The following is a 27,297-nucleotide window of genomic DNA, read 5'->3' on the forward strand; positions in this document are numbered from 1 at the left end:
CCTTGTAAGAGCCCAGATCTAGGGACTTGGAGACCTTAATGCAATAATGAAGAATCCAGGAATCTTCAGTTCTCAGGCAGGTTTGGTAAATGAACAGGTGGGTTGGGTGGGGGATGTGGCAAACTGGGGAGTACAGTTCTGCTAAAAAATTAAAAATTAAAAAAGGGAAATAGTACTCAGTCAAGGTTGACTATTGAATGTTTGAGTTGCATTTGATTAGATTTTCATTTTTCAAGAGAAGACAGAAATCTGGATTTTAATGTAAAATTTCTTGATTTTAAAAGATTGTGGAGTAATTCAAAATTTGTTATAAAGCACCGTGTAGGCCAAAAAACAAAACAAAACAAAAACCTCTGTCTTTGGATGGGACATAGTCGAGGAGGTTGCCATTTTGTGATCTGGCCTAAAAGTTGTTGTTTTTAGAGCTTTGGAATCAAGGGACATTCATGCAAACTTTCTGACAGGTTTTCCATCTAAAAGGGAGTGGACCAGGCCATTCCTAAGTTCCATGGTGGTTTGTGGAAACATCTTAGGGCACAATGGTTATCAATGCTGAGAGCAGTTTCAGCACCTGCCTCCTCTTCTGAAATCCTCCAACCTCCATGTCCATGTTTTTTTTTTTTTTTCCCCCTCATTACTTTGCTTTTAGCTCACTCCTTGCAGGAATCTTTCCAGCTGCCTACCTAGCCCTTCCTTACACCCGCCTCCATTGCCCGAGGACTCACGGACACACTGTGGTGGGACATTGCGGTTGCTCCATAGGCCTGTGTCCAGACACTCTGCAGTGGCCTCAGCGCCTGCCTGGAGGTGGTAGCCTTCACTGCAGCTGTACATGGCCTTGGTTCCCACTGTGTACTCCTTGCCAAACACCATTCCATTCTTGGGGGCCTCAGGAAGCCCACAGGAAAGAGCTAGCAAAAGGAAAACAATGTCATGAGCATTTGTTTTAAGATGGTATTCTGAGAAACTATTTTTATCCTTCCTCCCCTCCCAAGGTCCTTTTATTAGTAAAAACTAATTAAAGGGTAAAGTATCATAATAAAAAAGAAAATGGGAGGATCATCAGCAGAAGAGTTTTTTCTTCTTTTTTTTTTTAAGTTTGGAAGAAGGAATAAAGATAGAAGTGCAAAGAAGCTGTAGCTCAAAATATATGGGAGGGAGCCTCAGGGTGAAACCAGTTCTCCGCCATCTGTTCCCACAAACACAGTGTAGACACATTCAAGTATCTACTCTCCAAACGAAAGAGAGAATTTTCTTTTCCACTGAGGGGGGATCTCTCTTAGGATGAATTAGGGCTGTTATGGTGGGAGTTGGCATCCCAGAGGAAAGCTCTTTTAATTCTAGGATTTATGGTCTCTTGGCCTAAAGGCTGCCCCATTGCCTACTCAGGTCTGCCACATACTCAACTCAACCTCTCACTGATAGGAGAGACTTTGTGGACCAAGATATCTGTATATAAAAATAACAAACGTAATCCACATCTCATAGCTGGAAAAATCAACCTGGCCCTTACTTTTAAAATACGATCAAGGATCATTATACATGTGAAGAAAATCAGCAGTGCGAACAAGACAAACCAAGATAAAGTTTAAAATAAATGTCCCCTTAGGAAACAGAGCTAATTTAGAAAACAGAAGATACACAATCTTTAAACTTCTGATCAGTAGTATCTTGAGAAAGTCAAGGTGACATACGGTACTCATAAAATAAAATCAGTGTGCTCTGAAGGAAAAAAAAACAAACAAAAAAAAAACAAGGACAAACTCTTTGAAATGAAAAATATGATTGCCGAAATAAGCATTATAGGATTAGAGATGAAAAGTAAATTTCTCAGAATATAGAAAAAAAAGAGACCGAAAATGAGAGAAAATGACAGAAAACACGGATCAATCCTCAATACAGAAGGTCCAGCATCCAACTGTTCAGAGCTCCAAAAAGAGAGAACACAAAAAGTGGATGGGATGGAATTATCATAGATGAAAATTTCTCAGAGCTGAAGAGAGACACAAGTCTTCAGATGGAAAGGGAGCCAAAGGAATGCAAAGAGAATCCCTCTTAGATTCACCATCACGGAATTTTGTGTATCTAAGAAGTCCAGAGACACACAGGCATTCCTCCAAATTACTAGAAAGAGGGAAAAAAAAATGACATAACTGTGAAGGAACGAGAATCAAACTGGCATAAGACTTCCCATCAGCAGTGAGTGTTCAAAGATAATGGAACAAAGCTTTAAACCTCTGAAGAAAATGATTTATAAACTAGAATTTTACCCAGTCAACTGACCAAACATGTGTGAGGGCAAAAAGATAGACACTTTCAGACATGTAAAGTCTCAGAAAATGCACCTCTTGTGAACCCTTTCTGAGGAATTTACTTAAGGATATACCCCATGAAAAAGAGGGTGAAAACCAGGAAAGGACAATATATGAGATATGAAAAATGACAGAACTAACTCAAGAATACAAAGAAAAGGAATCTCAAAGGGACAACTCAGGAGAGAAATGTTTGCAGCAACATGGCCAGGATTATTATTTTATAAGGAGTAGGGTCGACATTATGTTTATAGGAGGAATAGGAATTACTTAGGCAAGAGTAGACTGTTTGGTCTTTGAAAGAAAGTAATACTTATAAATCATCCTTGCTCTTTGACAGCTCAGGGGGTATTACAGATGGAAAGATTAATCCGTCAAAGTACCCACTACTGCCTCCATCCACTATCCCCTCTGGCTACTAGTCTAGAGCTCAGAACTTTTTCGCTTAGAGCCAGAATAAGCTTGGGCAGAGTCCCATTGAGATTGCCTAACAAGATGCTTGATGCTATAAGAATTTCCAGAACCAATAAGAGGCATCAGGCTGGGGCTCCATTATGAATGGAGGAGGGTAGACTGTTCAGAGGGAGAGAAGTTGGAATACCAAGATGGAAGAAGGATCTAAGTGTGGGACTTTCCAGAAGAGGAGGATCAGGAACACAGAAGGAATGAGAAATAAGAGAGTGTTTAAACATGAGACTCTTAATGACTAATCAGAAAGGCTATGAGCTCCTTCAGTGGAACTAGGTTAGCTAAGCTGTCATATTACATCAACTACCTGCCCAGCTTCCTTAAATCCTTTGGGAAGAAATACTTGGATCTCCACTGGTGTCTTGCATGGAGAGTCAATCCAGGGAGGGCAGTGAAGGAAGTGGGCGGCAGCCACTTCTCACAGGCCCTGGCCTGGCCTTGCTCTTGTAGATAACTAAGGGGACAGAAGATAATACTCCAGCCTGAGATACTAAAAGCCTGTGTCTCATGATCTCCATGCCAAAATGCAGTCCCCAAAACCCGGTGGTAAGAGGGACACTTCCTGTGGGTAGGAGGAGGAGGGGATACAATCACAAAGTATTTGAGGCTTGTGGTGGAATGAGATCTCTGAGGGAGAGAGACACAGGTGAGAGAGTGGGCTGGGGAAGGAGAGAGAAGGCATTAGGAGGCATAGAGTCTCTAAAGGAAGAGTGGAAAAGTCATGGTTTGGAAACAGCAGTAGAGAAGTGGAATAATGCCAGGCCCTTCCTGGCCCAGAATTCTGTGGGAAGTAGGAGGTGGGTGGAGGGGGATTAACAATCCACTTGAAAGGGCCACAGCATACGTGCTCTCAGAGGACAGCCATGGTCTCCATGGAGGGAGGAAGTGAAGACAGCCAGCTGGGTAGGGACTGAGGGTGTACGCTTGCTGGCCACGGAACTAGGATTCCAGAGAACACAGTGGGAGGCTTAGAGGAAGGGCATCAGTGGGAGGCAAGGGGTGCAGTGGGGAGAAGACATGCACAGTAGTATGGGGATGGGTCAACTGAAGTCTGGTGGAGGCTTAATTTTGGGTGGTGATGTAAGGTAACAGAAATGAGAGGCTTAGTAGGTTCCAACTGGCGCTCCGGAAAAAAGACTTGTCCTTGTTAATGCAGTTAGAGACGCAGAGACCAAAGCCAAATGCCATTTGCCATTTGTGGACAGCCAGTTCACTGTGACCTTTGCTTAGGGGTAGAGTAGATTATTAATAGCACATTGTTTTTGTTCTTTGAGAAAGCACAGGCACAGGCGAGAAGGTTGTGAGGATTAGAGATGAGAGATGTCATTAAAAAGTACTTCACCACTACTGGGAACCAAAGGAAAAATCAAATAGCAATGTGATTTCCTGTTTTTGTCTATGTAGTTGGCAATGTTTTCTTCTTTTTTTAAATGCAGTGCCTAACGTTGAGACTGTGGGAGAAAAGACAGTTCTCACATGCTGCTATACATGAGGACAAACTTTCTGGGAGGCAATCAGTATCGACAGCTGTCAATCGCATACGTTATGATGCGAGAATCTCATTTCTGAGAATTTGCCTTAAGGAAATATGTAATATTCATAAAGATGGAATTATAAGTTTATCGTCACAAAGAATATAGAAATCCAAATGACCAACAAGAGAATGATACTTAAATGAATGACAATTTTCTCATAATGCTGTGCAACTATTGAAAATAATGGTGACGAAGTATAATATTAACAATAGAGTCCAGGCGCGGTGGCTCACACCTGTAATCACAGCACTCTGGGAGACCGAGGTGGGCGGATCACCTGAGGTCAGCAGTTTGAGACCAGCCGGACCAATATGGTGAAACCCTGTCTCTACTAAAAGTACAAAAATTAGCCAGGCATGGTGGCGGGTGACTGTAATCCCAGCTACTCGGGAGGCTGAGACAGGAGAATTGCTTGAACCCAGGAGGCAGAGGTTGCAGTGAGCTGAGATCATGCCACTGGACTCCAGCCTGGGCGACAGAGGGAGACTCTGTCTCAAAAAATAGTATATAGTTAAATATACTTCCTCACCATGATTTTCAGTGGTTGCACAGCATTATGGGAAACAAAATCTATAAGAGCTTTGTACACGGATGATCCTATTTTTATAATCAATACATAAAAGACCAAAGGAAATGTGCTGAAATGTTAACAGTGGTGATCTCAGGTTTATTGTTCATTTTCACTTTTTTTCTTTTGCATTATCTACCGTTTTTTTTTTTCTTCTTCAGATTTTTAGTTTGAATGTATATTACTTGAAGGGAAAAAACTGTCATAAATCATAAAATCATAAATCATAAAAGGTAATGCATGCAAATTGACTGACACATTTCAAGTGTTTGATCAACCCACTTGCTCTATGAGCCGGAACCCAAGCATCCCCTCTGCTGGGAGCCCTCCCCAGCTGGCCAGGAGGAAGCAGATCCTTTCTCACCTCTGGGCTCCCACAACACTGATTATGCTCCTGACACGACACTTCCTTCCTCTGCCACTTTGCATTGATGTGCTCACATACCCATCTCCCCCATGGATCTCAAAACACTGAGATTGCTACGCACTACAGATCTTGTAAATGCTTGTGGAAAGAATGAAATAATTATCAAAGAGGAAACCCACATTTGGAAGTGACTAGTCCTGGGACAAACCCAAGATATGAGTTGGATCCGAGCTACCTTGTGACCCCCTTTCCACCTGCTTCTCACCTTGACAGAGAGGGATGGCTTCGCTCCACAGGTGGTAGCCCTGGGGGTGCCGGGTACAGATGGCCATGCTGTGTCCCACCAGGCGGTAGCCGGCGTTGCAGCCAAAGTGGATGGAGCCCCCGGGCTGGGTGCTGGTCTGGCCTAGGATGAAGCCATGGAGTGGAGCCCTGGGCAGGCTGCAGTAAGGGGCTGAACAACAAGATGAGGTTCAGGGAACTGGCACCAGCAGGAAGACAGACATGGTCTTTCATGCAGGCCCCTTTCCCTTTCGTCTCCCCCCCATCCCCTTGTCTTTGCCACTGCCACATCCTCTGCTGTTGAGGAAAGTCTGAATGGTGGATATTGAAAAACACCCAGTCAGGTTGGTAAAGCCGAAACAAAACAACGGAAACAAAACAAAACAAAACAAAAAAAACCAGCTTCATGAAGCACTGGGTCCCTTTTGCGGTCCAAAGGTAGATCTGGTGTATGGCTAAGTTCAGGCTCTCAAATCCCTTCAGCTCCGAAACAGACTTAGAAAGTAGAACCCAATGGGGTTGGTTCCAGAAAGCTGCGACTGCGGGGGTGTGGACTTTGACCTTAGTGAGGGCTGGGCTCCAGTCCCGTTTCTGATCTGACCAGTTTCTGTAACTTGGGGCAAATCACTTCAGCTCCAATTTCCTCGCCTGTAAATTGGGACTGGTAATACCCACCTCACAGATTTTTGGGCAATTTAAGCTGTATATGTAGATTGCGTACATAAAGCCCCCAGCACAGCATGGGGCACTCACTGTTCAATGCTCAGTAAGTGGTCATTGTCCTTCTTTGTGCTGTGTGGGGGAATGTGCTGAGACTGACCTGTGGCAACCTGGGACACACATTTCCCTACAGTGCTCATTTCCCCTCCACATATGGCTTCAACTTATTTCATTCATTTATTCAACAAATAGACATCAAGTATCTATTATCTTCCAGATATTGTTCTAAGTGCTTGCAATACAACAGTGAAGAAAACAGACCAAAACCCTGGCCTGGGCTCACGCCAGTAATCCCAGCACTTTGTGAGGCTGAGGCCAGTGGATCACTTGAGGCCAGGAGTTCAAGACCAACCTGGCCAAAATGGTGAAACCTCATCTCTACTAACAATATAAAAATTGGCCAGGCGTGGTGGTGCGTGCCCGTAGTCCCAGCTACTCGGGAGGCTAAGGCAGGAGAATCACTTGAACCCAGGAGGTGGAGGCTGCAGGGAGATGAGCTCATGCCATTGCACTCCAGCGTGGGTGACAGAGTGAGACTCTGTCTCAAAAAACAAGCAAACAAAAAAAACAAAACAAAAAATCCCAGCCTGAAAGGACTCACATTATAAAGCCTGCCAGGGATCCTCAGGGGGAGTTCTGTGAGGCCAGGAAAGAGGGATGACCAAAGGAGCAGGCAGATAATTCTCTTTGTTTGCCCTAGGAGTCCCTGGTGGGGTCTTCCAGGCAGAGATGGATAAGGCAGGATGCGCGTGTGGGGCCCTTACAGCCACCCCTGGTGAGGTCCCCGGCCTCTTTCTTGGTGATCATATCCGTCTGCCGGTGAAATGGTTGTTTTAAATAGCTGCCTTCCAAGCCGAATTTGTTTCCCTACTCCTGCTTTGCCCGCTGTGTCCTATGTGTGCTGTATCCACATGGTTACCTCCCTCAGGAACAAGAATCTCGGTTGTAAAATATACTTAGTCACAGTGACAGACGCAGGTGCAAATTACACTCATCTACTCGATCTGAATTATTAAGTACTAATTGTTGCGCCATGTAATTAACTCACTTTCTACGTGGCATATGTATTGTAATTACAACTGACTCATTATCCCCAAACACGTTAGAACATCAAGGAAAGGGTAACTCCTTAATAACGTTCAGTTCCTAATTTAGCAACCAGCATAGTGAAATGCTACCAAACTGCTATATTTCCTGTTTGAGTGAGCAGCTGCCAGGAACTCAGCCCTAAGAGGCACCTTAAAGTTTCTTTTCCATCATGCGGACACTGAAGCCTGAAGTGGTTAAGTACCTTGCCTAATAATCCCACAGCTAGTAGGTGAGAGAGCTGGTCACTGACATTGGGGCACTCAGTCATTGCAGCCACCCAGACCCCTCTCCGTGTGCACCAGGGAAAGGAGAGGTTGGATGGACTTTGCAGAGGATATGGGCTCTGAGACAGTCAAGACCCACCTTCTCCCAGGGGCCCTCAGCTTCCTCTGGTTGGCTCTCCCCTGAAAGCTACACCCAGGGATTCTTTAAGACTGTCCACCCACTGAGTATGGGCTGGTCTTGCAAGTAGGAGACCCATGAGAAGAGATGGACTGTGGCAAGTGGGACTTCAGGCACTGAATTTGACATTCCTTCCAACCAAGATTCTTTTTTTTTAATTTTTTTTTTTTTTGAGACAGAGTTTCACTCTTGTTGCCCAGGCTGGAGTGCAGTAGCGTGATCTCGGCTCACTGCAACCTCCACCTCCCAGGTTCAAGTGATTCTCCTGCCTCAGCCTCCCAAGTAGCTGAAATTACAGGTGCATGCCACCATGCCTGGCTAATTTTTGTATTTTTAGTAGAGATGGGGTTTCACTATGTTGGTCAGGCTGGTCTCAAACTCCTGACCTCAGGTGATCTGCCCGCCTTGGCATCCCAAAGTGCTGAGATTACAGGCGTGAGCCACTGCACCTAGCCCCCAACCAATATTCTTTAGAAATTTGTTCATTGTTTGCCTGGAATGTAGGCCAAAGGTAGCCAGGGGAAAGAGTGCTGAAAGGGAACTGGTGTGTGATGGAACCCCCCATGGTCTTAAGTAATTCATTTCTGCCTCCAAGCTTGCGGAGCCCAGTCAGCAGTTCACTGAACCCACCTCTCTTCAAAGTGGGCATCAAGCACCTTGTGAAGTTTTCTTCCAACCACAGACAGTAATCCCCATGACGAGAGATCAGATAAATTCAATTTTCTCCATCTCATTATATTCCCAGGATTATTTTTTTCAGTCCTTATAGATTGTTGCCTGGGTCAGTCTTTGGCCTTTTGATCTGACTCTGTTTATAAGATATGGCTTGCAGAGCAGAAGAAAGGCACCTGGCCTTGAAATATAGCCCATCCTTTGCTGCATGCTTAACATCTGCCAGTCAGAGATCTATGCCTTAGGGCTTTTTAGTTTTAAGAAACTTTTATTAGCATTTCCTAACTTTCCTAAAGGGACAGGATCACTGTTAGGCATTATCAGATCATATAAAATTGTTAAACTTATCCTGAAGACAAAGGCTGGCAGTATGAGAAAAGAGGGAAGAGGTTCAAGAGGGGAATGGAATAGAAAAATAGGAGGTAGGGGAATGGCAAAGACCACTTAGCTTCAGGTGAGGCAGATTTAGGAGGGGAATGGCCGCCCGGTCTCCACAGAGGAGCTTGAGGCTTCGATGAGGAGAGGGCCTGTGGCTTATTTGTGTTTTTTTCACTCACCTGAATAGCGGATCTTGAAGCCCTTCCGATTGTAGGCGTGATCAGATGACCAACGCAGGTACACAGAGTTGCTTGAGCTGGTGACAATCAGGGGAGCTGAGTAATTCCCACTGAGGGCTTTCAGCAGAGGACTCTGTCCTGATGGACCTGGGGTGAGAAGGACGCAGGATTACAGACCATGGGAGCCATCACAGGGAGCCTCCAGGGAAGACCTCAGGGCTCAGAGGGTGGGGTGACTTGTTCAGAGTCAGCAAAATCATTTGTACTTGCACTCCTCTCTCTGCATCCACAGGCATTGCTCAAGGTGCTCTTTTCTCCTAAGCCCAGCTCTAAAGCAGTGCTCTAGGAAGTCCCTGCCTACCTCTAGGGGCTGGCAGGTAAGATGAAATTGATTTGCATTTTGAGACTTGACAAGGTCAAGTAGCTGGTTAATGGAAGAGCTGGTTTTCAAACTGGGAACTTCTTCCACTTGGCCACCCTACTTCTCTTGTGTGTATTTAAGCTCATGTCTGTAATCCCAGCATTTTGGGAAGGTGAGGCAGGTGGATCACTTGAGCCCAGGAGTTTGAGACCAGCTTGGCAAGCAAGACCCCATCTTTACTAAAAAAAAAAAAAAAAAAAAAAAAAAATACAAAAATTATCTGGTCATGGTGGTGCATGCCTGTAGTCCCAGCTACTGGGGAGGCTAAGGCACGAGAATCGCTTGAACCCAGGAGGTGGTGAGCCAAGATCGCACCACTGTGCTCCAGCCTGGGTGACAGAGAAAGACTCAGTCTCAAAAAAAAAAAAAAAAAAAAAAAAAGAAAAGAAAAAAAGCTCAGTGCCTGCCATATAGAAAAAAATATTTATGGAATGAATACATAGCAATAAAGCTAGAGGAAAATGTCATGTCTCGGGGTCATAAGTAACAGAGCTCCCTAATACTGCTTTTGAAAGCTCTTTGAGAAAGACCTCCCTCTTCTTTTGTCCTACCTTAAATGTCTGAGATTGCATCCCGAGGGGGCTGGTTGAAGGGGCGCAGAATATAAAGCTGGATAACCCATAACACAGGATTTATCACTCTGGAAAAGGCCCTGAATGATGGCTCTACTATGCCACTGAGACAGCTCTTAGAAGCTTGGAAAAATTAATGGATCATATTAAACAAAGTAGAGTCACCAGAACTGCCATGCAAACTGTGAAGGGAAAGGCTGGGAGAAGTGGCATGCTGGGCTAGGTCTGCTGTGTAAAAGTTGACCATAGTTCTCAGGAAGACCTGGAGGACACTCCATTTACTAAAGCAATCAGGAGGTGAGGAGCTCCAGCCTTCCTGGAGCGGGTGAGCACCAGCATTGCTGAAAACCTGAGTAACTAATGGCTATCCTCTGTGGGTCAAAACTGATGGGGAGAGACACTGGGCTCCCTAGCAGTAATGGGGATGAGAAGGTCCTAGAACACAGAGGCCAGGTGGAATTACTTAACAGTCAGAAGCAAAGTTGGCATAATTACTAAAATGGGAAGCAAGGCTGGAATGGCAGCTGGGAGAGCCTGGCCTACGGGATCTACGAAGATGGCTCATAGAGCATGATGTTCCTAAGGGCAAGGTAAATAGGAAGCCAAGAAGAGCAGCCAAAACAAGTATAACTATATGAACAAAACAGATCATTAGTAGCTAACTGCAGGATGAGAAAAGCTGCCCCCAGCAGAAAGGTGCAATCCTTTGCCCAGTTTGCAGACTTGAGCCAGGTTTCATTTCCCAAGAGGCTGGGTCCCTATGAAAAAAGACCCCGCACAATGACAATAATTGTATATAGTAGTTGTTCCTACCGTTCTTCCCCCAAAAGACCTACTACTGTTTACTCAGAAAACAGAATATTATAGAAAATGGAATGTTCAGATATATCAAAGACTTCTGGATACAGGATGTTAATTGATGCTGATGACTGGGGGTCCAAAGCACTATCATAGCTACTCTGCCAGAGGAGTGGTGTATGAAGGGTGGTTTTGGGAATAAATGGAGTCCTGGCCCAGGTCCGTCTCACAGTACACACTTAACAAAGTAGGAGCCTCAATTGTAGCAGCTGTGTGAGGCGCATATCTTTATTAGAACAGATTAACACAGCCTTGGTTACATAGAATGTAGCTGTTGATCTGGCCATGTAGTCTTTTCCATACCCTTCAGAAATGAGGATCAGAAGCACTTTGCATTCACATGAGGTAGACAACAGTATACATTCATGGTTTCCCCCAGAGCTATGTTACTTCTCCTGCTCTCTGTCATAACCGAGTATAAAGGGATGTGGACCATCTGGACATCTTGCAGAATATAACATATTGGTTCACTCTATTGAGGACATCATATTAATTAGACCTGATGAGTGAGAAGGGACAATTAGTGCTTTGGCAAGATGACTTTTCAAGATGCATGTGCTCCAGAGGGTAAGAGGTAAATCCTACAAAGTTCTGCTATGAATTTTTAGGGTCCAGTGGTCTGAAGCATGCTGAGACATGCCCTCCAAATTAAAGAGCAAATTATTGCACATTTTCCCTCTTAAAGCCAAAGAGGCAGCACAATGTTTGGTAGATCTCTGGGTTTTGGAGGAAGCACACTCTTCACTTGGGAATACTGTTTGACCCATTTATCTGCTGACATGAACAGGAATGGCTTTGAGTGGGAGCTAGAGTAAGAAAAGGTTCGGTAACAGGTTCAAGTTGCAGTACAAGCAGCTCTGCTGCTTGGGCCATGCCACCCCTCAGGTCCCATGGCCTTGGGGTTGCTGTGGTAGGGAAGGACATCCTGTGGAGCTTCTGGCAAGCCCTGATAGGAAAACTGCAGCACAGACTCCTCGGGTTCTGGAGCAAGTCCATGTCTTCTGCAGCAGAGAACTGTGAGGCATTTGACTGACTTACCATCAAAAATCTCAAACTCATCATATTGCTTCTCGCTGAGGAAGTACTCCACTGTGAGGGAGATGTTATAGTCGGGCTCCACTCTCACCAGCCAAGAGCAGGTCTGGAACTGGGGATAGCTTCCAGGGTAGCTCTGGCTCAGGATCACGCCTGTGGAGTCTGTCAGAAGCTCATTTGTTGGACAGTGCACTTGGAGAAAGAAAGAGAAACACCAAGTACGTGGGGGTGGAGATGGAACTACGGCCAATACATTTGCTTTTCCCAATACTAAAGACAACCCCTAGAAAATCAGTATTTGAGCACATTCAGATAAGATCCCACATCCATCACTGTGCTGCTCCATGACATGAGGTGGGCTTAGATCCTGTGTCAATATTGCAGTATTTCTGGGACTTGAGCTTTGCCAGTTGGTTGGAATCACTTCCTAGATAAGTTGTGGGTTCTACTACCTGGCTTTGAGTAGGGGAGGATGGAACATACATACAGACAACAGTAAGGCTTCCCCAGATCCAAAGGAGATAATCTATAAAATGGGTTTTATTTGAACAAAGATTGTACTGTATAGGGCAGAGGTAAGTACATGGGATTTTGAGTCAAATACACCTGGATTCATAGCCCACCTCTGCCACTTACTAATGGTGTGGTCTTGAACAAGTTATCTCCTCTCTGTGTGATGGCTTCTCTATCTCCAACACAGAGATAACACAGACCTTACAGGGCTGTTGTGAGCATTATATAAAATATTACATGCTGGGTGCGGAGGCTCATGCCTGTAATCCCAGCGCTGTGGGAGGCCGGGGCGGGTGAATCATGAGGTCAAGAACTCAAGACCATCCTGGCCAACATGGTGAAGCCCCATTTCTACTAAAAATACAAAAATTAGCTGGGTGTGGTGGCATGTGCCTGTAGTCCCAGCTACTCAGGAGGCTGAGGCAGGAGAATTGCTTCCCAGGAGGCGGAGGTTGCAGTGAGCTGAGATTGCACCACTGCCCTCCAGCCTGGCGACAGAGTGAGACTCCATCTCAAAAAAAATATATCTATATACATATATGTATATATATATATTATGAAATAATATATGTAAAGCATGCAACATAGTGCTTCAATAAATTGTAGAGGGAATGATGAAAACTGCATCTTGAACAGAAAGGTCTCAGAACTTGGCTGTGGCTTAATTAGTACTATTTATATAGCTAAAGAAAAAAATGTCATTCTAAGGAAGACATTGAGCTTGGAACTTAGAAAAGGAGGAGCTGGAGGAGCAGGATTCGTTATTTCGTCATCACCATGAGTGGGAGGGAAGCTGCTGGTTCAGAGAGGCCCTTCCCCAGCACTGAGGAGATGCTGTGTCCTGGGGCACAGGCAAGCATCACAGCATGAAAGCAATTTCAGGACCATCCACCTCCATTTGTTTGGGTTGCGGACGCCAAAGCAAAGTTCTGAGGACTAAATCAACTTCTTCAGTACATTGTTCTTTCAGTACAAAGGTGTGCATTGACAATAGTTGTAAGTATTCTTATCACTGCACACGGAGAAATCAGTGTTTTGCAGTAGATGTGCCTTTAGACAGGCTTCCTGGGTCTGCTGGATTCTGGGACACTGCTAAAAGGGAGGTTCTGGAACGGGAACTGCAAGACCAAAAATTAATCCCAGGATTACAATTTCAGGTAATGCTATTTTGGGTACAAGACTTTGCCATGGGCTGTTCACCCATCTCACCTCTGCCTTCAGAGAAGTGGGGCTTGGTAATCAGCACGGGGGCTGGGCTCCTAGAGTCTTGCTGTGGCCCAGAATTTCACAGGACGCATCCAGGATTCTGCCTGAGTAGCTTTGAAAGGTACTCACTGACTTTTCCCAATAGAGCTTCCTTTTTAATTTTAAGAGGAGAAGGAAAACTAATGTCTTCTAAGAGGAAACTCGCTTAGCTTTGACATGTTCCTGATTTCACTAATCCGATGACCAGCACAGGGCACTGAGATGTGGTGATACTTAAGTTCTCTCAGGCCTCGTGGTCCTCTCCTGCCTCTACCAGGTCTGCTATTCCTTACTGACAGTCCATATTGCAGGTTCTTCCTACTCTTGCTTTCCCAGAAGTGGGGGAAAGGCTGACCTGTTTCCCCATAGGCTACTGAATATTTGCAGGTAGCAGTAGTTCTAGAAACAGTAGTCGCACTAATGATAATATTAACACAAATATGGAGCAATTACTGCATGCCAGGCATCATTCTAAACTGGTTTATGTTATTAACCCATTTAATACCGCCATGGCATAAGTACTATCATTATCCTCAGTTTATAGAAGGGAAGGCTGAGGGCAGGACAATCAGGTACCTTGCCTTAGGTCAGATGCCTGATGAGTGGAGACTATTTTTTGATCTTAATTGGGGTGACTCGCTGAAGCGAATTCATTTCTGTCAAGGCATGGTACACTGGAATAAAGACTGCTGTGGTCTCTCAGTTGCCTGGTTTGGCACACAGCACCTTGAGTGCATCCGCGCATCAGTAAAGCAGGGATGGTGTGTGAGCCCACGCCCACACCAGGGAGGGACTTCCTCCTTCCAGTACTCAGTATGCAATTCCAAGAAATTCCCAGGAATGAAAAAAAGGCAGATGAAAATAAATGTGGCCACTGTGGCCAATTCACAGGTTCAGATATCAGAACAGGGCAGAGAACCTATCTAGAGTGATCACTCACTCATTCCTCATGCACTTACTCATCCATCAGACAACATTTACCAAGTGACCTTTCATGTTATGGGGCAGTGACTGAGCTGAGAACTGGGAATAGAAAGAGGAGCAAAACAAGAGCTTTGTTCAGGAGGAACTTCTAGGCCCCATACAGATGCGGCTCCATGCAATTACCTTCACATATCGGGGGTGGTCCTTCAAACTGCAGGTAGGTTCCAAGTTTGCAGGTCAGAATTTCATTCCCCACTAAGGTAAAGCCAGGGAGGCATCTGTAGCGTACGATGTCACCTGTCAAAGAAAGACCAACATGTAGACCCTCTTAAGAAGTCCAGTCATTAGTACCTTGAACCCACTTCCAGGTGAGATAATCAGAGGCGGGTCATGTTCTGTTCAGACTTAAATAACTAGCTCAGCTCCCATCAAATGGCCCAGACGACTGCTCCCCTCTCACAACTCAGCCTTGTGTGAGCCTCAGAATGTTTCATATTCCAGGACATTTTATACTGTCTTGCATGGATTTATTTCTCAAAAAGATGCTGACTTGAACCAAAAAAAGAAAACTATTTTTCTGCCTCCCCTTTTGATTTTATTTTGGGTGTAAACTCAGTGGGCAGAACCCTCTGGCACAGGGCCTACTGTTTCTCTCTCCACAGACAGGAGCAGGGGATAAGGTCCACTGGCCCGACAGCTCCCCCCGCCACCTTCCCTTCCTTCCCCAGTCCTGGGTTCACAGTCCTTGCTGGCTTGGGAGGTGGTACCTATATTGAATTCTTCATTCTCTGTGACGACTTCGGCGTTGGGGAGGATGGTGGGAGGAGGGCATTTGGTGAGTGGATAAGCTGAAAAGATAAAAGCAGGCAAGTCAGGGTAAGATCATCATTCTCCAGGTACACCGTCATTCATTTGTTCAATTCTTCACTTTCTCATCCCTCATTTATTCACACACAGATATTCATGAGTACTTATCTGTAAACAGGGCAAGTTTAGCCAAGTCCTTTTTGCTTATCTTCTGTCATCCTTATTGAAATTAATAATAACAAAAGAGGGGCAATCTAAGGAGTCAGTGACACCATCACCAGCACTGAAGGGTGGGAGAGGAGCGTTTTCTGAGTGCCTCGTGGATATTAGGCGTTTTATAGGCTGCCACTCTAACCCTCACAACATCTGACCATGCTGTGAGGTGCTCTTACTCTACTCGTGAGCAAGTGAGATTCAGAAAGGTGAAGTAAGTTCCTCAAGGTCACACAGGAATTAGGTGGCACAGGTAGGATTTGAATGCAGGTCTGGCTGTTCCCAAACCCTGTATTCTTCCCACCACTGAGCATCTACATGCTGCATGTGGCTTTTGCGAGTACCTACTGAAGTCAGCTGACAAGCTGACCCTTCTGATCTTTGACCAGATACTTCTGGATTCACAAATTTTCTAGGCTGGAATTCATCCCTATGGGCAGAGACTGGATGATGCTAGAGGCAGGATGCTATTTACTGAGGCTAAGTTCAGTGTGGGCTCATAACCTGGCTTTTATTACTAACACAGAGTCAAGTGCTATACAAGTGTTAGCTGCTCCTGCTGCCACTGCTGCTGTTATCGTTACTATTTCCAATCACCCCAATCCTTGCTATATTAAAAAAGTGTTCTTTAATAAATACAAATATAGTACATTATCATTAAAGAAAATTTGAGGTATTCTATGGAACAGTAGGAAGAAATCAAACTTATCCATTGCCCTCTCAGAGATAACGACTGTTAACCAATTACAGTACGTTCCTGGAGTGTTTATTCTCTGCAAATATAAATATTTTTGTTTTATACAACTTGCATTATATGTTATATAGCTTGTGTTGATCCTTGCACACTTATTATTATATTGCAAGAATTTCCCATATAATTACATTTCTTAGAAAATATGATTGAAATAACTTCATAGGATTTAATCATACAGATTTACTAGAATGTATTTAACAGATACTCTGTTAACCATTTAGGTTTCCAAAGTTTTGCAATTTAAAATAAAGCTGCAATGAAATCTTTTTTTATATATGCATCTTTTACGTTTTTTTCTTTTTCTTTTTTAACTAGGAAGATTCAAGTACATGACCCTTTTGAAAGTACAGATATCTCCTGCTGAATGTCAGTAATCCTTTCCTGGAAATCAAATGTTCTGTGTAAAGATATTAACTAGGAGCCTATATCCCATTATTTTAAGTGGGAAAAAATTATACTGTGTTGTACTTCAACCCAAAATCCAAAAAGTAATTAAGACAAAATAAAATACCTAAATATATGCAACAAACCATTATGTTAGAGAAGTTAAATACTTAAAACATCACGATCACCCAACAACATGGTGTGACAAAACAGCGCCTCTGTGCATTGCATACTGTACCATCCACATCCAGTGCGCCATGAAATCTTGCAGCTTGAGACATTATAAAACTCTAGGCAGAAAGAAGGTCTAGCTATGAAAGACTCAGTGGGAATGCATTCAGGACTGGCACTAGGTGGTAGAGTACAGTTTACAATGAACAGCATGGAGTGACACCTCAGAGCCAGCAGCCTCTGAGACACACATCCCCGCCATGGAATTGGAGCCCCTTTCCAAAAGTCCGCATGGGATTCTGACATTTTACCAACTGTAGTTGGAATGCAGCTTGAGACTTTCCCTGCATATAGATTTATTGAAAATGGTGTACTATGTTTTGGGGGATCTAACTGTAAATGTTTTCTATAGACGCACTCGCTGAAATGTATCGTACTGAGAGATACGTAAGCTCTATGAAATGTGGGTGTTAAAACTAAGAGGCACTCTTGAGGTAACCAAGTGGGTTTACCTTTGATTTAACATAAGCCTGGGAAGGCCACGTCCACACTTGCTGCATGCTTCCACTTTGCCCTCCAGGAAAATGGTTCCCATTGATACTGTCAACAGAGTGACTGTTCCTCCAGCACTGGGTGCCATCATTCTTCTTTCACCCAGTTCATGTAATGATTGTCTATGGAGGGCTCACCCTGGGTCAGGCACTGTGTCAGGTGATGAGGTTACAAGAACAACCAAAACAAATACATCCCTTGCCCTCACAGAACTTAGGCCCCACTGGGAGAGATAGTCGTCTGTTTTAATCTTTGTTAACTTGCTAAACAAAAAAGCAGCATTTATTTTATTTTAATTGGCATTTGATAACTAATTAGGCTAAGCATTTTTCACGTTAATGGCCTATTTGCATTTCTCTTTTTAACTGTCTATTAAAAGAGTTGTGATGAACCAATATGTTAGAAGTTTAAATACTTAAAACATCACTTCATGATCACCCAACAATATGGCGTGACAAAACAGTGCCTCTGTGCATTGCATACTGTACCATCCACATCCAGTGCACGGTGAAACCCCGCAGCTTGACACATTATAAAACTCTAGGCAGAAAGAAGGTCTAGCTATGAAAGACTTTCTTTGCCCCTATTTTTCTTATAAATTTGAAGAACTCTGAATATTCAAGGTTGACCTTAGCCGTTAATTATATTTTCCCAGTTTATCATTTGCTTAGTTTTATTTATGGCACTTTTGATTTGTAGAAGTATTAAGTTTTTATGTAGCCAATTATAATTTTTCTTAATAAGTTAAAAAAATTGGTGCCTTCCATTCTCAGTGTCATACTTATCTTCAAAACTTCTAAGGCATACTAAACTTTTCCAGGAAAAAAAAATGAATAAAAACAAATCCCCACTTAAATACAGCCTGGGTACTTTATATTTTGTGATTACTGTTTTGATTGGGGTGATTTTCCATTACATTTTAAAACTAGGTTTTTTTTTTTTCAGGGTCTTGCTCTGTCACCCAGACTGGAGTACAGTGGCACAATCATGGTTCACTGCAGCCTTGACCTCCTGGGCTTAAGCTATCCTCTCACCTCTGCCTCCCAAGTAGCTGGGACTACAGACTCATGCCACCACACCTGGCTAATTAAAATTTTTTTTTTTTTTTTTTTTTTTTGTAGAGATCGGGTTTCAAGATATTGCTCAGGCTGGTCTCAAACTCCTGGGCTCAAGTGATCCTCCCACCTTGACCTCCCAAAGTGCTGGGATTACAGGTGTGAGTCACTGTGCCTGGCCATAAAATTACAAATTTCTGTTTAATGCGGGAAGCTCATGGGATACTAAAAAGCAACAAAACAAAAATTTCCCAAATCTCACCATCTAGGCATAAGCATTGTGAAGATTTTGCTGTAGGATCTTGGGTCTTTTACAGACACGCCCTCCCTATTTCCCATCACACACACACACACACACACACACACACACACACACACATATACTCTTACCACATTGATGGTATCCCACTGTATCCACCATGTTATTGCTACAGAACTCTAGGGCAGGGGACATTCAAGGCAGACTCTTCCATTTCATTTTGTGAATACCCTTCTTCTTCCCCTGAGGGGAAGAGGGTGAGGTGTTGAGAGAGCATAGCCAGATTCTGGTGTGTGTGAACATGTTAACTCGTGAACGGTGGGGGCAATTGCTTTATTAATGTTAAGCAGCAGTTGGCTCAGCAGCAGCCATTGTGAGCAATGGTCCCTGTCGTCTTCCTGGGAATGTTATTCCTCAAGCTGCTGGGTGTGCTGAATTGGCCTTTCATTTGAAGCTTTTATTTATCTTTTTTTTTTTTTTTTTTTTTTTTGAGATGGAGTTTTGCTCTTGTTGCCCAGGCTGGATCACAATGGTGCGATCTCGGCTCATGGCAACCTCCACCTCCTGGTTTCAAGTGATTCTCCTGCCTCACCCTCCCGAGTAGCTGGGATTACAGGCATGCGCCACCACGTCTGGCTAATTTTGTATTTTTAATAGAGACGGGGTTTCTCCATGTTGGTCAGGCTGGTCTAGAACTGCCAACCTCAGGTGATCCGCCCACCTTGGCCTCCCAAAGTGCTGGGATTATAGGCGTGAGCCACCATGCTCGGCCTCATTTGCAGCCTTTAAAACCAAATTAGCTTAGAAAAAAATGTGAGCTCACATGGTTCATTTGAGCTTACCAAAGGACTCAGGCTCTGCTTTTGAATCTGGGGTCCATGCCCAGCTAATATTGAAATGCCTTCCTTTGCCTTTGTTTCTTGTCTGTATCTCTTTTTCAGAACATCACAAGGAGTGGTGAGTGTGGTCTAGGGTGGGAGTCCATAATCACTGCATTTTCTTGTGATACCATCACCTGAGTTTTTAAAATCACCTGCTTTTTTTGCACTGAACAATATAAAATAAACATTTTCCTAAATCAGTGAATTGTATTCTACATGAGTGATTCTTTTTATTTTCTTTTTAGAGACAGGTTCTCATTCTGTCACCCAGGCTGGAGTGCAGTACCACAATCATAGCTCTCACTGTAACCTCAAACTCTTGGGCTCAACTGATCCTCCCACATTAACCTTCTGAGTATCTGGGACTACAGGCATGCACCACCACACCCAGCTAATTTTTTTTTTTTTTTGGTAGAGGCAGAGTCTCACTATGTTGCCCAGGTTCATACATGAATGATTTGTAATGACTGTATCTTTCCCTATCTCTCTCTCTCTGAGTATACACTTTAAATTTATAATACCTAATCTCTTACTATTTTTACATTTAGATTATTTCTAATTTCCCTGTTATAACATATCAAGCAATATCTTCATGCACATATCTTTGCATAATTCCCAGAAGTAGGATTGCTGGGTCCTAGGTTGTTGTATTCCTTGGGAACCTTTGGATGTAAATAAATCAATTCAGGCTAGAATAAGCAAAAAAGCCTCTCAGAGAAGAGAGAACCCAAGGGTGGGTTTGCAGCCAGACTTCACAAAGGTAGAGGACGAGGAACTGAAGGGCCATCAGAAACCAAGGAAATTTTTCCACTTCTCAATCATTCTCTTTCTGCACATAGGATTGTTCTACTTTTTGGTCCACATGGAAAGTAGAAGAGCAGCAATCCATTGCACTTGGATTTTTATCTTTTCAGGAGATGGGTCCAGGCAAAAGTAGAATCTCTTGGGTCCTATTTCAACTTCCCAAGAGAGAACATCTGATTGCCCCTGCTGCAGTCAGCTCAGGTGTCCACCTCTGGTCCAAGCTTCTGTGGCTGGGGGGCAGATGTGTGCGTGGAGGGGTGTCACAATGTACAAACAGCTGCCAAGTGCCCTGAGGAGCAGTTAAAGAGAACATTATGAGTGGCACAGGCACCACAAAGTGATTGGAATGTGTAGCTAATCATATTGTGTTAAGGTTTTGGATCTGCAATTCTCAAACTACCTATCACTAAGTGGGCATCTTTCTGCAACCTTCCTAATTGGATAATCACTTTAAAAATTATCATGACGGCCGGGCGCGGTGGCTCACACCTATAATCCCAGCAGTTTTGGAGGCCGAGGTGGGCGGATCACAAGGTCAGGATATCGAGACCATCCTGGCTAACACGGTGAAACCCCGTCTCTACTGAATGTACAAAAAATTAGCTGGGCGAGGTGGTGGGTGCCTGTAGTCCCAGCTACTCGGGAGGCTGAGGCAGGAGAATGGTGCCAACCTGGGAGGCGGAGCTTGCAGTGAACCAAGATCACGCCACTGCACTCCAGCCTGGGCAACAGAGCAAGACTCTGTCTCAAAAAAAAAAAAAAAATTATCATGACATATGTGTACACTCATGATCTTAGCAGCATTATTCACAAAAGCTAAAAGGTAGAAGCCACACAAATGTCCATAGAGGGATGAACAGATAAACAAAATGTGGTCTGTACTAACGTTATTAATAAATATATACCACATGTGTGGAATGTTATTCAGCCTTAAAAAGGAAGGAAACTCTGACACATGCTATAACATGGAACCTTGAAGACATTATGAATTCTGCATTTTTCTTTGATTGTTACTGTTGTTGTTTATGTTTGCCCAATATAATCTCTGGCCACCCTTTTATCTTTAAACTGTGTCACATTGTCTTAGTTATGTTCCTGGTATAGAAAATATAGTTGAATGTTATTTAGGTTAATCTAAATATATTAGTCCATTTTCATGCTGCTGATAAAAACAAACCTGAGACTGGGCAATTTACAAAAGAAAGAGGTTTATTGGACTTACAATTCCACGTGGCTGGGGAGGCCTCATAATCATGGTGGAAGTTGAAAGGCATGTCTCACATGGTGGCAGACAAGACAAGACAGAGCTTGTGCAGGGAAACTCCCATTTTTTAAAACCATCAGATCTTGTGAGACTTACTGACTATCATGAGACTAGCACAGGAAAGACCCACCCCCATAATTCAGGTTCTTCCCACAACATGGGAATTGTGGGAGTTACAATTCAAGATGAGATTTGGGTGGAGATACAGCCAAACCAGATCATTAAGAGTCTTTGTTTTTTAACAGGAAATTGAATTTTAGTAAATTTGCATTTTTCATTACAATTGAATGATTTTATTCTACTGCTGTATCTTATTTTGTGCTTGCTGTATCTTTGTCCCTACATAGTTTCCTTTGTTCTCTGCCTTTTATATTTGGATTATGTTTTACATGTTTTTTCTTTTAGTGATTTAGAAGTACTATACTTTATTTTAAATATATTAGTGACTAAAGTATATGTTCAAAATCCTTATTTCTCTAGTGATCAAAGTCAACAATTGGATAATATATATTGATTCCACCGTCACAAAAGATAAGGACATTCTCTTATCCCTTTTCCACCTTCTTGCACATTTATTAATATAAAATAATTATTTGTAGTCTTTTAAGAATTATTGTATTTGCACTGCTTTGAATCCATATGTTCCATTATTATTTAGCTTTAAGTCTGTGCTTAACTAGTATCAACACTCCATTTTTATCTTTTCTTTCATACATCTTCTCTATTTTGAGTTACTGGTTCATCTGGAGTTCATCCGGAGTTACAGCCACCTGGAGTTACAGCCCCGCTTGAGATAGAGTGGCAATAATTGTAAATTCTTGAATCCCTGCAAATAACAATTTCTTGCATTCACACATGAAGCCCCTAACTTTTTCTCCTCCTTAAACATCACCTCCTTCATTTTCTGTAATCTAACGTCAAAAATTAGCCTGAGAATTGTCTGATTTTGGTTCATTTAAGGTAACTTTCTCAGCCTGGATTCTTGTAGATTTCCCCTACTCCTCACCCTTACAAGTTGAAAAAATTGCCAGCCTCTTTTTTATTTCTCTTGGTATCCAGAGAGCTCCTTTATATACACAGGTTTTCTTTCATCTCAGAAAAGTTTTATCATTTCCATTTGGTTCCTTTCTTCCTGAATGCTTGTTATCAGTGTCTTGGCTCTTTGTCCACTGGGTCTCCTTATTTCTTATCTTCTATCTTCTCTCTACCATTTTCACGCCTCTGCCCTTCTCCCTATTTGGGTTGAGATTTTCAGGTTTGTCCTCCTCATCTTTGCATTGTTTTTCTACAGTGTTGCTTCTGCTCTCGCTGATTCTTGTGATGATGAAAATTACGCTATTTTGTTTCTTTTCAGTCTTGCTATTTTTTAGTATCTAGCTTCCCTTGGAAATAAAAGTTTTAATTTGGAGCAGCCACAAAGGTATAGGAGAAGTTGGAAGTATAGTACAAAAATCTTTTTCCATGAACCGTTTGCAAGTAAGTCGCCAACATGTTGCCCTGTAACCCCAGAATATCTTAGTGTATTTCCTACAAACTAGCACATTCTCTCACATAACCACAAAACAACCATCAACATTGGGAAATTAACACTGACACATTACTGCCATCGAATCTTCACATCTCATTCAAGTTTCACCTGTTTTTCCGATAAATTCCTTGATAATTTATTGATCCAGTTCAGAATCACATGTTGCATTTCATTGTCATGTCTCTTTGGTCTCCTTTAGTCTGGAATGGTTCCAGTGTCTTTACTTGACCTTCAGAACTTTTATATTTTTGAAGACTGCCTGCCAGGGAGTTGACAGTCCGTCCCTCAAGTTAGGTTTGCCTGGTGTTTCCTCCTGATTATGTTCAGCTTGTCTTCTGCAACTGGATAATCATGGAAGTGATGCTGGCTTCTTCTCACTGCATCCTCTCACCTGGAGTATGATTTCAATTTGTCCCATTATTGATGAGGTGGGCGTGTCTTCCAGTCTTCTCCACTTCTTTTTCCCTTTGTTATTATTGTGTGTGGAGTGGGGTGGGGGAAGGGGTAGTTTGAAGTTATGTAAATATCCCCTTCCTTATAAAAACTTGTAATTATTTAATGTCTGCGTGGATATACATAGTGTTCTGTTTGATTCAATAGGTCACCACCATTTGTTACTATTTTAAACAACTTTGATTCTCAAATTATCCCCAATATGGTCAATGAGAACCCCTCCAAGCCAGATTCTATGTCCCTTTGACATGTCTCCATCATGCCTTGGGCATTTCCTTAGTTTCTGCCATAAGATATTCCTGGCTTGTCTTCTACTTTCTCTGCCCCAGGCTTGGGATTAGCCATTTCTTCAAGGAGCCCTGGTCCATTTTAGTGGAAAATGTTATTTAGGAACCAATATCTGGTGCTAGATGTGCTCATTACTATTGAAGAATCACTGCTCTGAAGCCTTCTCAGTAGAAAGAGCTAAGAAATGTATGTGCAAACACACATGTACTCAAACATGCCCCACTCACACACTATTTTCTTCCATATCTCTACATATTGAAAACCATAAGCTCACACTGATACATCCAATTCAAATTTAACACCATTGGGTATATTATAATTTTTGCTCTATCCATAGTTCTAACCCTCTTCTCTGACAGTGAGACACCTGCCTTCTATTGTCCTTGACGTATTAACGTATTCGATCAGTCACCCATCTGGAACCAAGGTTTCATTTCTGCTGACCCCTCCCTCCTCACCCTACTTGGGCTCTGACTTCCTTTCCTGGGCTGAACCTTCTCTGTGTGGCTGTCCGCCTTCCTCTGCTTGGGCTCCAATACCCTACATGGGTGTCTGCTCATCCTGCGCAGAGCTCTGACACCCTGTGCCAGCTCCATCCCTGTACAGATACCTAAGCTCCAGCTGCCCATGCCAGGCAGCCCATCAGTGTGGCTCCCCCTGACACCCCGGCCTGGGCTACAATGGTTCACACTCCCTCTTGCCTGACAGGTATGGATGCTGTATTAGTCTGTTCTCACACTGCTAATAAAAACATACCTGAGATTGGGTATTTTATAAAGGAAAGAGGTTTAGTTGACTCACAGTTCAGCATGGCTGGGGAGGCCTTAGGAAATTTACAATCATGGGAGAAGGGGAAGCAAACACGTCTTTCTTCACATGGCAGCAAGAAGGAGAAGAATGAGAGCCCAGTGAAGAGGGAAGCCCCTTATAAAACCACCAGATCTCGTGAGAACTAACTCACTATCATGAGAACAGGATGGAGGAAACTGGCCCCCATGATTCAATTATCTCCACCTGGTCCCTCCCATGACATATGGGGATTATGGGAACTACAATTCAAGATGAGATTTGGGTGGGGACACAGCCAAACCATATCAGATGTCTTTGCTTTGTCCCATCTCACAGCTTTAGGACTGAATTATTCAAGTGGGGAAGGGAAGAGATTTAGCTTTCGTTTTATTTATCTCTTGGCCAGATCTTTCTTTTCATTTGTGTGCTGTCTGAACATTTCACCTGTTATTTGGAGTCCATGTTATCTAGACTTATATTAGAAGAAGATGCTTCCCAAAATTTATTTCTATTACTTCTAGTTCCTAAACCATGTTTTTTTTTCAAGGGCATTTTTCTCTGTAATTCAAACTTCATGTTCTAACTTTTAATGTTATAAAATCTTTCACAGGTCTCCTTAAGGTATTTTTCCTTTTTCTTATTGATCCTCATATGAAAAGAAAGTTCCTTAGGGCTGCTTGCCTGGAGAAAGGCAAAAATTCTTTCCCCCACTCCCTTCCACTGTCCACTTTTTGCAAGTCTAGCTCCTTTTTTTTTCTTTAGTTCTTATCTTGAATATCCTCTCTTAGGTTTTCCACAATTACTTTGCATGGAATTCTACAACTTTTTGTTTGCTATCTTATCCTTTTATGTCTTTCGAAGCATTTGTTACAATTTGCAAAAATTTTGTCCTCTTGGTTACTCATTATCTCTTTCTCCTTGGAGCAGGAAAGCTGTCTGGGGAGCAGACATTTCACAGAGCAGGAAGCATGAACACTCAGTAACACAGGAAAGGATGCTCTGCCTCATCACAAGCATACAAGTGAAATGCCATCTCATGCACCTACCAGACTGGTAGAAATGTAAAGTCTGCTAAAACCCAGTGTTTGCAAGGATGTACAGCAAAAGGAACTCTACTTCAGTTGCTGGGAAGAGTGTAAATGGTTATAACTGCTTCTAAGATAAATTGAGCATTACCTAGTGAAACTAAATATGTGGATATTTACAACCTCACAACTCCACACAGACATGTACTCAAGAGAAACCCTTGTACATGTTCACAATAAGGAATAAGCAACAATGTTCTTATTGCTTGAAATGAAACAACTTAAGTGTTAACAGTAGACTAAATAAATTGCTATATTTTCATGCAATGAAATCATACAGCATTGAAAAATGAGTTAAGTGCAGTCACGTGCATCAACATGAATTTCAAAAACTTAATTTTGAGTGAGAAGAGCAGGTCACAGAAGAACATTTATAGAATGATTGTCTTTACATAACAGAAATAACATGCAAAATTAAACAACATATTTTTGGAGACTCACATATGGAGTAAAATAAAAAGAAAAGCAATGAATATTAACCAAAAGTACAGGATCATGGTTAACTCTCAGGGTAGGGTAGGGGAATGTGCTGAGGAAGGAACAGAGCTTCAAAGGCTTAGGTGTTCTTTTTCTTAGGCTCAATGATGGTGTTCATTTTATTACTCTTTAAACTGCACATACATGTTACATACATTTTTATATGTAGGATATATTCCACAACTTACCAAAAGTTCTATGAGGCATGGAATGTGCCTCTCTTGCTCACTCATCCCCTAGTCCAGTGCCTCTCCCACTTGAGCCTGCCGATCTGGGCACAGCAGTTCCTCCTCTCTTGCCCCAGACCCTTGCCTGCTCCTGTGGTCAGTGAAGCCTTGGGCTCTGGTCTGAGCTGGGACTGAATGGCTGTCTTAATCCATTCAGGCTGCTGTAACAAATTACCATAGACTGGGTGACTTCTAAACAACAGAAATTTATTTATCACAGTTCTAGAGGCTGGGAAGTCCAAGTTCAAGGGACTGGCAATTTTGATGTCTGGTATGGGCCTTCTTACTGGTTCATGGACAGCTGTCTTTATGCTGTGTCCTCATGTGGTAAAAGCAGCAAATGAGTTTCCTGTGTTTTTTTTTTTTTTTTTTTTTTTGAGATGGAGTTTCACACTTGTTGCCCAGGCTGGAGTGCAATGGCGTGATCTTGGCTCACTGCAACCTCCGCCTCCCAGGTTCAACCGATTCTTCTGCCTCAGCCTCCTGAGTAGCTGGGATTACAGGCATGCGCCACCACGCCCATCTAATTTTGTATTTTTAGTAGAGACAGGGTTTCTCCATGTTGGTCAGGCTGGTCTTGAACTCCTCACCTCAGGCGATCCGCCCACCTCGGCCTCTGTGTTTCCTGTGCTTCTTAGCTCTTTCCACTGAGAAGGCTTCAGTGTGGTGATTCTGTGGGTCTCTTTTATAAAGGCACTAATCCCATTCATGAGGGCTCTGTTGTCTGACCTAATTGCCTCCCAAGGCCCCACCTCCTAATACCATC

General features: G+C 43.0%; 1 protein-coding gene across 11 annotated transcripts in view, besides 1 other annotated feature; it reads right to left on the bottom strand.

The window, feature by feature from the left end:
* CSMD2 (CUB and Sushi multiple domains 2) overlaps positions 1–27,297 on the bottom strand; it is a 651,845-nt gene that overhangs the window by 57,783 nt on the left and 566,765 nt on the right. For 10 of the 11 annotated variants that reach the window (XM_047443685.1, XM_047443656.1, NM_052896.5 and 7 more), the window contains 6 exons: positions 15,308–15,388; positions 14,724–14,837; positions 11,862–12,050; positions 8,973–9,119; positions 5,516–5,704; positions 726–911 (listed from right to left, as the gene is read on the bottom strand). In XM_047443685.1, coding sequence (XP_047299641.1) covers positions 726–911; positions 5,516–5,704; positions 8,973–9,119; positions 11,862–12,050; positions 14,724–14,837; positions 15,308–15,388 — 906 coding nt within the window. Of the gene's footprint in view, positions 1–725; positions 912–5,515; positions 5,705–8,972; positions 9,120–11,861; positions 12,051–14,723; positions 14,838–15,307; positions 15,389–20,001; positions 20,710–27,297 lie in introns of those variants that run through there. The other variant, XM_017000193.2, reaches the window with a different exon arrangement.
* Positions 2,379–2,548: an enhancer, noted in NCBI's record as "experimental_7293 CRE fragment used in MPRA reporter constructs". NCBI's record gives its function as "activates a minimal promoter by MPRAs in K562 erythroleukemia cells, with activity observed for both the introgressed and non-introgressed 1:34039844 variant alleles {active_cell/tissue: K562}" and the evidence as "EXISTENCE:reporter gene assay evidence [ECO:0000049][PMID:34662402]".

This window comes from Homo sapiens, chromosome 1 (assembly GCF_000001405.40).
Source record: "Homo sapiens chromosome 1, GRCh38.p14 Primary Assembly".
NCBI lineage: Eukaryota > Metazoa > Chordata > Mammalia > Primates > Hominidae > Homo > Homo sapiens.